The sequence below is a fragment of the Homo sapiens genome, chromosome 8 (assembly GCF_000001405.40).
Source record: "Homo sapiens chromosome 8, GRCh38.p14 Primary Assembly".
NCBI lineage: Eukaryota > Metazoa > Chordata > Mammalia > Primates > Hominidae > Homo > Homo sapiens.
This window is the reverse complement of record NC_000008.11, coordinates 57,279,543-57,292,234: the sequence shown is the minus strand read 5'-3', so window position 1 is coordinate 57,292,234 and position 12,692 is coordinate 57,279,543. Positions and strand designations below refer to the sequence as shown.

Below are 12,692 nucleotides of genomic sequence, written 5' to 3'. Positions count from 1 at the left end.
AACTACCTGATCTTTGACAAACCTGACAAAAACAAGCAATGGGGAAAGGATTCCCTATTTAATAAATGGTGCTGAGAAAACTGGCTAGCCATATGTAGAAAGCTGAAACTGGATCCCTTCCTTACACCTTATACAAAAATTAATTCAAGATGGATTAAAGGCTCAAATGTTAGACCTGAAACCATAAAAACCCTAGAAGAAAACCTAGGCAATACCATTCAGGACATAGGCATGGACAAGGACTTCATGTCTAAAACACCAAAAGCAATGGCAACAAAAGCCAAAATTGACAAATGGGATCTAATTAAACTAAAGAGCTTCTGCGCAGCAAAAGAAACTACCATCAGAGTGAACAGGCAGCCTGCAGAATGGGAGAAAATTTTTGCAACCTACTCATCTGACAAAGGGCTAATATCCAGAATCTATAGTGAACTCCAACAAATTTACAAGAAAAAAACAAACAACCCCATCAACAAGTGGGCGAAGGATATGAACAGACACTTCTCAAAAGTAGACATTTATGCAGCCAAAAGACACATGAAAAAATGCTCATCGTCACTGGCCATCAGAGAAATGTAAATGAAAACCACAATGTGATACCATCTCACACCAGTTAGAATGGCGATCATTAAAAAGTTAGGAAACAGCAGGTGCTGGAGAGGATGTGGAGAAATAGGAACGCTTTTACACTGTTGGTGGGACTGCAAACTAGTTCAACCATCGTGGAAGTCAGTGTGGCGATTCCTCAGGGATCTAGAACTAGAAATACCATTTGACCCAGCCATCCCATTACTGGGTATAAACCCAAAGGATTATAAATCATGCTGCTATAAAGACACATGCACACGTATGTTTATTGTGGCACTATTCACAATAGCAAAGACTTGGAACCAACCCAAATGTCCAACAATGATAGACTGGATTAAGAAAATGTGGCACATATACACCATGGAATACTATGCAGCCATAAAAAAGGATGAGTTCATGTCCTTTGTAGGGACATGGATGAAGCTGGAAATCATCATTCTCAGCAAACTATCACAAGGACAAAAAACCAAACACCGCATGTTGTCACTCATAGGTGGGAACTGAACAATGAGAACACATGGACACAGGAAGGGGAACATCACACACCGGGGCCTGTTGTGGGGTCGGGGGAGGGGGGAGGGATAGCATTAAGAGACATATCTAATGTTAAATGACGAGTTAATGGGTGCAGCACACCAACATGGCACATGTATACATATGTAACAAACGTGCATGTTGTGCACATGTACCCTAAAACTTAAAGTATAATTAAAAAAAATTCAGTGAAAAGGCTGAGAAAAAAAGAAATATGCAATCAATAAAAGTACTATTTTAACACTGATATGAAAAAATTTACTGAATATGTTAAATTATTAGAGTATTCCAGACAATATTAGAGCTAATCTGAGAACTTTACTCATTTCATAGGCTTCAAATTTGTGAGCTCTGTGAACTTCTTAAACTTTTAGTTAAAGAAGAAAGTAAGGTGAAATACTCATGAATTGAAGGCAATATAGCTCAGTAAATGAACTAGAGTTAGGCTGACGTAACGGAAAATGTCCTCAACTCAGAATAAATCTCAGCTCTGCAACCAATTCGTTCTTGATTAAGTTGCTTCTCTTAGGCTCAATGTCTTCCTCTAAAAGTGAGACTTGTAGTGCCTTATTTAACTAGGTTATTATAAAGACTTCACAAGACAGCATTTGAAAAAATGCTCAGAGAAGTAGTGAAGCGATGGAATAATTTATTCTTGAACCTTACTGCTGAAACTATTTTAAAATCCCAAATAAAACCCAATGTGTTTGTCAGATGCAGAGGCTCATGCCTGTGATGCCAGCACTTTGGGAGGCTGAGACAGGAGGACTGCTTGAGCCCAGGAGTTCAAGACCAGCCTGGGCAACATAGAGAGACCCTATCTCTACAAATTAAAAATAAATTTTAAAAAAAGTGTATTTCTTCATAGGTTCTACTATTCAAATGTTGCAGTTTTCAGAAAATGTTATTAAGTCCTACTCTTGATTATTAGATGTTCTTTTTTTATGGCTTGTAATTCAGGGCATCTATTTCATAATTTGTAATAAAAATTATTTATAAATATGTTAATTCATCAAATCAGACAACATGATTATCTCCTGTTGCTGAGTTCATCAATCACACCCAGGGCAGAAAACTGTTGAATGTCAAGACCTGGCTTGGACTCCTAATATTCTTTACCAAACTTCCCAAACTCTGAACCAATAAATCTTTGTTGAAATAATGCTTACTCCCCATGTTCATCTCCAACTGCTGTGGAAGAAAAAACCTTACCTTTATTTTTTTTAAGTTCCATGATGGGGATGGAAGCTGTTATTTTCTCATTTCCTAGATGCCTACTAGCAATATATTGCACACAACATCCCATGTGTTTCCCGGCACAATCTCATTCCATAGATCATCTTACATAAATATTTTTGTGTGAAAATCACAGTTTCAATATTGGGTGTCACCATTTTTCATTGACTCACACCATTTCCTTGGAGCTAGTAAGATAGTAGTCCAAGGTCCTTTTGGGGACTGCAAGAAATATAGAACACCTCACAAATTTGTGTGTCACCCATGTGCAGGGATCATGCTGATCTTCTCTATATTGTTTCAATTTTAGTGGATGTGCTGCCATCTATTTTTTTTTTTAGAAGGAGTCATGCTTTTATTGCTCAGGCTGGAGTACAATGGCACGATCTCAGCTCACTGCAACCTCCACTTCCCGGGTTCAAGTGAATCTCCTGCCTCAGCCTCGGGAGTAGCTGGGATTACAGGTGCCCACCACCATGCTTGGCTAATTTTTGTATTTTTAGTAGAGACAGTGTTTTGCCATGTTGGCCAAGCTGGTCTCGAACTCCTGACCTCATGATCCACCCACCTCGGCCTCCCAAATTCCTGGGATTACAGGCGTGAGCCACTGTGCCCAGCCACAAACTTCTACTTTCCTACATGGATACTGATGAGTCATGGATGAGGCTTAGCTCTGTTTAATCTAACTTACTTGAGATTTCATGAATTCTTTCGAATGGCTTCATTGTGAGGTAGAATTTTAAAATATTTTAAAAACTCAAGATACAAACACAAGTAGTTTGGGAGATTTTTACTTTTACGGAAAACAGATCACTTGAGGGAAGAACCACTACTCTGGGGAAGCAGAATATTGGTCCTTCCAGAATAATATGGGACCCTCCACTACCTACAAAATGGTGCCACACAGAATCTAAAGGGGCCAAGAGCATAGATCTGGTAGCAAAGAAGAAAGGAATCTCTGATTTCTTCCTGTAACATTATTTAGACCTCACAGTTTCAAACTATTCCAAGGGATTCAGAGGATAATTTACCTTGAAGGTCTAGGACAAGTCCAAGCTAAGACGTGGGTTTCATATCAGGTTTTGAGTGTGAGAAGAAGGGTCACTATGAGTGTGGCTAAAGCTAGGAGGCCCAACTGTCAGAGCAGGCGTACAGGCACTTTGGAAATAATGGCTGAGAATATCTATGTGAACTAAAACAAAAAGTAATAACTTTGAAGTCTATATGTGAATCACCAGGAAGACTGAGGGATCCAGATAAGTGAGGTCATCCTGGTAGCAAAGGTCAATTGTTAACAGACTGAAGAAGCAGTTTCAGTGGCAACGATGCAGCAACAGAATCAGAGGGAACAACACAATGATTAGAAGGGTCTTTTCTCCCCCCTCATCCTGACTGTAAAAGAAGACTGTCTTCCTTGGACTTAGGGAACCCCTTAAGTTCCTTTAAAAATTCAAGGAGGAGGGTATAGAGGATAGCGCCCAGAGGCAGTACTAAATTTTTTGCTAAAGTGGACGTTTTAAGACCCAAATTACTAATTACAAAAATTGAAAATGTGACACTATGTTTATCCCATGCATTGGGATTATACTTGGGATCAAATAGACAACATTGGTATCTGTAGGGATAAATGTGTTAAAAGCCCTAAAATAAAGAATCCTGGACCCGCTGCTCCTTCTAACTAGTTTAGCTTTTTGCCTGATTTCTGGCTGATGAAGTGAATTAACTCACTGCCCTTCAAAAACTACTTGAGCCAAGCTATGAAATCTCACCTAGACTTTACATGTACAAACATAGATTAAAAATATTAACAACAGCGTAATCTTCTGCAGTCATTCCACAAATACTTGAGTAAATATGTCAATATTTTTCTGAAGAAGAATGCTATCCCTGATGATCCATGACATACTGCAAGCATGAGGGCTGTGCTAAACAGAGAGAGAACTTCATTCTTAGAAACTTTACAAACTTAATATGTGCCTGTCAGTGTAGAATTAAACATTTACGTGAACTAACAAACATAAGCATCCTGGGTGCTCAAGTGTTCATCTTTGTAAATAACCACAAAGGCTTAAAGGAAGGGACAAAAAAAAAATTCATGTCCCACTGGGGTATGGCATAGTAGAAGTGGTTAACATAAAGTCCTTTGATGGGCAAAAGACTGTGCTCAGGTCACTCATCTACAGGAGGCAAAGATTTAAGTGAAGAATTATCCATTTCTTCTCTAGTCTGATATATTGTAATTCAAAATCAGTTAGGAGTAAGATAAATAAGAGCAATCTGCAGGCTGAAAATAATAATGTAAAGAATAATGATAGTAGTAGTTGTTCAGTTAATGATACTGATAAGCATGTGTGAAGAACTGAATTAAATGCTGTATACACATAATCTAATTTCCACACAATCACCCCTGAAAGAAATATTATTATCCTCATTTTCATATAGGAAAGCATACTTGGTACTAAGTAATGTATGCAAGGTCACCCCTAACAAATGAAGAAGCTAGAAATTAAAACCTGTCTTTTGTGAATCTAAGGCCTCTTTTCTATCACTCACCTACAGCTTATCTTCATTAAATAAAAAGTTAATTTAATTAAACATATCTTTCTTCCTTCTACACATACCGATTACAAATTAAAAAATTAAAATACACCATAAGTTAAAAAGAAATAAAATGATGAATTCACAGTGGTGGTAACAATTAATAGTCACTTAGGGATAACCTGACATTAATATTTTTCAAATAAATCACCTTAAAGCAAACAGTCATCCAAAACACAAAATAATTTTCAATTCCTATTTATGATTCATATTACATTTTATAGAAAAAGTATATAAAAAGCAGAAGGTAGAGAAATACTATAAAATAATAATTCAATATTGAATCAATAAGCAAACTGAAAGTTAAATTTCATATTTTATAAAACTAATACAAAACCCTTTACTAATAGAAGATAATGTGACAAAAACATCAGATTGTAAATAACATCAGCCAATATAATAAGAGAATATAAATCCTATCATATACATATGTTCTTTATGTTGCCCAGTCCAAGTAATTGCTTTTCTACCTAACTGGTGATTTGTTTTGATATTTTCCACTATAATCCAATAAATATAAGCTAATCTGCTGATTAACTTAATATTTCCAACTTGAATGTTACGACTCTAGAACAACACTCACTTTAAAAAAATGACTAAACCTTTATCAACTGCATTTACATTTGCATTTTTTGTTAGTAAAAATTATACCATTTGCTGTCTTCTTTTAGTTATGGCAAGTAAAAGTGGTATGAGGCCATCCTGTAAAATGGCAAAAACAATTTATAATTCATAAAATTACATATTTGTCAGCTGAACTGAATACCTTATATAAGGTCTTATGAACTTAAACACATAAAATAGAAAGCAAATAAAATCTGTCCCTTCCTTCTCACTCCTCTGTGCTTTCCCATGCACTCCTCCTCCACTTGAAAACATCCGGCCTCTGACTCACATTAACTCTGGTCAGCTCCAAAAATGATTTGAAACAGTCACTGGTTTCAATAATCTTTGTTTCTAGCACAGCATTTCACATGGTATATTGTAATAATTTTATTGATTTCTATCTAAACCAACAGATTCTTGAGGGCAGCTGCTGTATCTTTTATCTGTTTATCCTCAAACCCTATGACATAGTAGTAAATACTTTAAGTATTTTTATTAAATCAATGATCTAAATTATTACCTCTAGAGTAGTACTTCTTAAACTGTATTCCAAAGAATATTTACTTTGCCAGAATTTAAAGACTGTACCTGAATAGGAAGATCCTATGATCATCTATGTTTGAGAAATATTATAAAACTGTGAATTATATGTCCAGTATTCAAGAAATGTCTTGAACTTTGCCTAATCCTTATTTGACAATAGGTTTTGTGGCAATATTAACATTTGAGGAATTAAAGTTTCAGGATTACAGTTTTTAAAGCTTTCCAATAAAGGTAGAGGTTTCCTCCAAGTGATACAAACTCACTTGATTATTTTCTATCAATGGGCCCAGGATCCCAGCTGCCAAAGTCAGGTGCTCCTGCTCCAAGTAGATCACTAAGGAAATGGTCTCTAAATTAAAAGAGATAGGCTTCAAATGAATTTTGATTGCTTATTATTAAATGGTCCATTGGGTTTCTCCTATTACAGAGTCACAGAATTTTAGCTGTTACAAAGTTCAGTATGAAATTTTATTCTCAATTTTAATGATATTTATAATCCTAGGACCCTAATGCAAATCTACTTCTTAAAATGCATTAATCCATTTTTATTCTGGTTTCCATTTTCATTGCTACTTAAAATTATTTTTTATTTTTGGCAAAATATCAGAAATACAAATGCAATGGCTTATCAATACAATTTCTAGCTGAACTATATGGGTTATTTTAGCATAATAAAAGCCACTAAATCACTTCCATTTTCAGAGACAATGCTGAGGAGAAAGATAAAATGTGTTCTGCAATATGCATAACCTATCCAAATATAACCATAATTAACCTAAAAAGGCCTATAGGCATTCCAATGTGATTATTATTTATGGTATATATAAAGAAAAATCATTATTTAAAAAACAACTTCTAAATTCTAAAAGTCAAACCCATTATTAAGGAATTAATACAAAATATAGGCTATATATTATAAATAACTATCAACTGTCTTGAAAACCTTGAAATCTTTACCAAAATATACTATATGACAGGAGTTGTTAACTAAAATATTTACAGAGGCAAAGGGTATGACCTGAGTAAGTCCCTAGGTGGGCACAATGGCAAACTGGAGACCACAGACTTTGCGTGAAGCTACAGCCTCTTCATAGCACACCAAACAGTAATATGGGCTCAAGGGAAACCAGATTTCACTATTTAAGAGGAGCCTGAAATACAGATTTTTGCAGGTCTCCTAAATTTTACACGTTGGCTTAATTTATGCAGGCCAACTTTGCTTTCCTGTGTTGTTGTACACTACTTAGAAAGAAAAAAAAATACTTCAGTCAAAAAAAAATTGAAAACAAAAGTTTTACCTATAACAAATTCAAATATCTACCATAAATGCATAAAAGAAAGCCATACTCTCTAATACTTTTTTAAAGATATTAGTATTTAAGGTAAAATCTTAGACCATTATTTCAAATTATTTTTATTCAGGGATTGCTTAAGCTTCCAAATAGCAAAAACTGACCCTTACATATGTCAATGTTAAAACAAGTGGATTTCAAATATTTTGAAAATAACATTGGTTGCTCTACATTGTTTTTCACTTCGATGTTTGTCTTGTGTGAAAACAGTCTTGCTACCATTGACATATTCTCATTATAGACAGCATATGGAGAGCAGTGTTGCCATAGACATCGGTAATATTTGGATCAGCACCAAGGTCTAGCAGAATAGTTTCACATCTTCTTGGCACATTATAGCCTGTCAGTATTAGAACAAGAAATAAATTGTAAATTGTAGGAAATTAAAATAAGTATTCCACAGGTTTCACAAACTAGTTATATTTCAATGAGACAAATTCATTTTTATTCTATGTATTTAAGCCAAATCCATCTCATGCTGAAAGAACTGGCTACTATATACCTTCGTTAGAGGTGTCTTGTTTTCACTGTCACAGATGTTAAGCTGGCATTTTCTGTGCACCAGAAAAGTTACCACTTCTGGGCAGCCATTGGCACAGGCCAAATGTGGAACCATCCTACAAAATTGAGAAGATATTGAGAGAAGTTTAGTCCACTATCTCAAAACATACAATGATTCACGTAATTGCAAACAATAAATAGCATGCTATTCCTCTGCTTTCAAAACAAATATTAATTTCCTCCTGAAAAGGGACAATATTTATTAGCTCTTATTATTCACTGCATCAATGAAAGAGTGACCTATTTGGACAGAAAGAGCTTGGCCTCTCGGTTTAGTTGATCTTGCACTTGAATACTATTTTAAGATCTTTCGCTTGCTAGATATTATAATTATTACTACTACTTAATAAAGACAACATTTTAATTAGGTAAAATGGTACCATTATACTTCCTTTGTGTTATGATTTAAAGGTTCGAGATAAGACTGTATTTCAATGATTCTAAGATTCTCATTTTCTCATATTTCAACATCTCTGACATTGAAATGCTACTTATAATTCATTATTTATTACAACTATATTTTTCAGCATTTTAAACATTATTTTATTGATACATAAAATAAGGCAGCATCACACAATCCATGGTGGCTACATCAAGTGGAATACGGTATATACAATAGGACAATGGAAGTCCTAGTCGTATGATTAACATTTAAATCAATTTTAAGCACTTAAATGTACTACGGAAAAGGAGCGTTGAAATAAAAGCAAATTTTTAAAACAAAACAATTCCTTAATTTTTAAAAACTTTAAGCCTAATAGAAGACAGGATTCAAATAAATAAATATGGCTCATTTAATTAAATATTTAGATTTACAGAATCTAAATGTATGCATGTATGTAAATTAGTATTTACATGTATAAAATGCATGTAGGGTAAGTATTTATGATAATTAATATCACTGTTTAAGACGTATACATTTTCAAAGTGGCCACTGATGTTATCTTGCATTACTTTCCCACATCAGAAATGATTTTATTTTTTTTGAAAGATGAGAGGACAAGCTTCAGTTGAGATTCAGTCCTAATTCTCTAATTTTAAATCTCTCAGCTTGCTCAGGGTGGGCAGGTACACATGAAATTTTTAAGAATGGAAGGGTCTTGATAGTTAGTATAATGTGCCTTTTACATAACAGGTATTCAGCTTGTATTTGATGAATAAATAGATTTTAAAAATGAATAAATACAGTTGGGAAGTTTAATATTTTTAAAACAGCTACAAATAAAGTGATATTTTTGCAATGGTAATAGTTACTTATATTCACTATTTTTATTTTCATAATAATAACACTAAACTAAAATGATTAATATGTAATTATTGGCATATATGTAATAAATCTATACATAATAAAAATATGTTTAATAAAATATGTACATATATAAAACCACTATCACAGATAAAGTTTATCTTCACTTCTGAAGACACTGAAAGTTCACAGACTATACTAATCCATAGAAATAAAAATTTAAAAATAGAAAGTGAGAAATTACTTTTAGCTGCAAAATTAATATTTCTGCTCTTCCTAAGGATTATTTCATTAGTAATAATTATGCTATATGCTATATACCACAGATCCCCAATCCCCTGCTCAGTGAAGAAATCACAAATCTTAAAAAGGAAAAACAGTTCATTATAATACAATTGTCCCCAAATAACAAATTTTATCACATTTGGTACATATTTTCAGATAAAGCAAGAACATAGTCAGTTTGTATGTGTAATCAAACTGAATGTTATCTTCACCTGATACACCAAAATACATTTTCATATGTCAACATACTTTTGTAGATATTACTTTCAGTGGTCTCATATTATCCCATACTATATATTCACTGAAATTTATTTATGAAATTTGTTATATGGATTCTCTTTAATACAATCATATTTTAAGCACTGCTGAGAAAAACAAATTGCATGTATCTCTCGTTGTTTCCTAAATGTATTTTACTATAATGGAATTGATCAAGAAAGGGCATACGCATAGTTTAAACATGGTACTTACCACCAAATTGTCTTTTTGAAAAGTCATCAGCAACTTAACTTTAAGCAGAAGTGTAAATATCACTGCTCCTCATCTTCACAAACTTAGGACAGAAAACGGCATTTTATTCCTTTTTTAAATTAAAGTCCTTCTCTTATCGGACACATTAAGTATTTTTTTCCTATGTGCATAGGTGACTTGCAGAGCTGGAAAAAGTACTTTGCCCAGTTTTAGAGGTATTTTCATGTTGATTTGGAAGAATTCTCTGTAAAATGAATAGCCATTTTTAATATGTACACACACAAAAACACGTGGTAAATATTATATAAGTATGATGTCTTTTATTTTATCTTTTTCTCATATTCAGTGTGATTTAATTTTAATTTTGCTAAATAAACTTTCAGAATGCTTGCTTGAGAGGTTCCTAGGAAGGTCTTTGTCAACACAAAAATGTATTTGTATAAATAGGCATTTGCGTTTTCTTCTGGTATTTTTCTCATTTTGCATATTTAAAATAATCTATATTCAATGAGAAACTTATTTTTGTGACATAAAAATCTAGCTAGTTTCTTCCAAAAAGCAGGCATTTCATTTATAAAAATAACTCTTTTCTTATTAGTATAAAGTCTCACCATTACCCTGTTATACGTTCTTACATATATTTGGGTGTTCCTGGATTTTCTATTCTCTTGCATTCATTTATCTATCTTTTCAGCTGTTAGCAAACTATTTATGCAAATTAATAGCACATTTTGAAAGGCAAGACTTTTTTTCTCCATTACAAAAATGTTAAGCCATCTTAATATTAAAAGACAGCATGTGTAATTCAAAAATGTTAACTTTGATAACTTTGATTTATGTAAAATTAATAAAGATCTCACACCTCGAGAAAAATGAGTCTTCTTATTCAAGAACGTGAACCTTCTTCCTACTTCAAAGTTTCCTTCTAAGGTCTCTCAGCAAAGAACATATTTACATAGGTATTCATTGATATAAAATATTGGATTTTAGCCAAAAAATTATTAGCCCAGAAGGTGATATATTATGGGAATTATTTCTTTCATTATGTACCTTTCCATAACGTATCTAACATTATCTTTTAAAATGTGTGCATTAAAAATAAAACAATATATACTTAATTTTATTAAATCACTTTAAAGTTCTCTCTGAAGTGCTCTGTAAGAGGAACTGTGGGTGGAGGAACCAGCTAAAGTTTTGGGTTTATTTTGCTGCTCATAAAGATGGCCTGGGCCCTCCACCCCCAAGGCGTCCACATCCCAGGCTCTGCGGAGTCCTCCTAGGAAGAAAGCCAGCGCCCTGGGGACGAGGACGGCCCACCCCGCACACACTATTCTTTCCACGCCTCCCCTGGCCCCCACTCCCCAAGCCCCCAATTCTGAAGGAGGTGCTTCTCCCCACCTGCCCACCTCCTCCCTCAACCCCCAAGCCTGCAGCCCGCAGTTCCCGACACCTGTTCTTGTAGATTTCAGACTGGTCTTTTCTCTTCAGCGGGAGCCTCAGCTGCAGCTCCCACGCGTTCCCCTGGACGCAGCTTTGTGTATCATCCCGACATCCTCATCTGGAGTCTGGTACCAGGGGTCAGAGAAGATGCAGTTACTACTCCAGGAGCTCAGGCGCACCTGGCCCTTCTGGCTCTCCACAGCCAAGATCATCTTCATGGCCCAGCTATTGGCTTCAGAGACGCCACAACTCGCCCTCGCCCTTCCCCCAGCCCAGCCCCCACCCGGCCCCCATCCGGCCCAGCACCAGAAAGCAAGGCAGTCTGGCCCAGACCTCAGACAGGGACCCTCCAACTTCTCGGACAAGGACGTCTCCAACCTCTCGGAGAATAAATAATATACGGAGCAGAGCAGTTGGGCCCCAGCGCCCATGGGACCTCAAAAGGCAACCGCCTTGCGCGTGGCCAGAAACTGCGTGTGGCCAGAAACCGCCCTGAGCCGAGCACTCGCCGGCACCGCATGCAGGTGGCAGCTGCTGCTGAGACGCCTGTGGACTGGCCGAGCTCCCTAGAGCCGAGCGCGCGGTCCCAGCTGTCTCAGGGCCCGCCTAACGACGCTGCCCCCTGCAGCTGCTCCTCCTGTGCCCTCTTTTGAGCGCGAGGTCTTGAGTGCTGGGCACTGTGCAGCCGCCTACATGGGGCTGAGCCACTGGTTCCCCCCTCCTGCAGCTGAAGGGCCGGCCGCCCGAATTAGGCGCTGCTGGGGCATCTGGCCAGGGGTCCGCGCTGCTGGTGGCTCGGGCAGCGTTGAGAGTTGCCACCTCTGCTGCCGCGCGCCATATGCAGATGACAGCTGCAGCTGAACCCAAGGCGGAGGCTGGCAAGGCTGGTCCCAGAGGGCCTTCAGGTCTCCGAGTGCACCACCCTCCCAACTGGGGTCCTCTCTTCCTTGCCCTGCGCCCAGAGAACGAGGTCGCCAGTGCTGGGGACTGTGCAGCAGCCTAAATCCGATGGCTGAGCAGCGAGTTCCCGCCCTGTAGCTGCCAGGCCAATCGCCTGAATTAGGCTCCTGGTGACGTCTGGCCCTGGGTTTCACGCTGCTGGTGGCGTGGGCACGGTGAAAGGTTGCCATCACTGCTTCCCCGCACCGTGTGCAGGTGGCAGCTGCAGCTGAGCCCACGATGGAAGTTGGCAGGGCTGGTCCCACACAGCTGAGGGTCGCTTAGTGTACATC

General features: G+C 36.8%; 1 long non-coding RNA gene and 1 pseudogene across 1 annotated transcript, besides 1 other annotated feature; both read right to left on the bottom strand.

Moving 5' to 3' along the window:
• On the bottom strand, positions 2,586–2,683 carry RNU6-596P (RNA, U6 small nuclear 596, pseudogene; annotated as a pseudogene).
• Positions 5,718–5,918: a silencer, noted in NCBI's record as "peak7033 fragment used in MPRA reporter construct". NCBI's record gives its function as "represses an SCP1 promoter by STARR-seq MPRAs in K562 erythroleukemia cells {active_cell/tissue: K562}" and the evidence as "EXISTENCE:reporter gene assay evidence [ECO:0000049][PMID:32103011]".
• LINC00588 (long intergenic non-protein coding RNA 588) lies at positions 7,504–12,692 on the bottom strand. The gene is made up of 4 exons (NR_026772.1): positions 11,471–12,692; positions 10,021–10,264; positions 7,960–8,074; positions 7,504–7,797 (listed from the first exon to the last, which is right to left on the bottom strand). It is a non-coding gene; the product is annotated as a long intergenic non-protein coding RNA 588 (long non-coding RNA).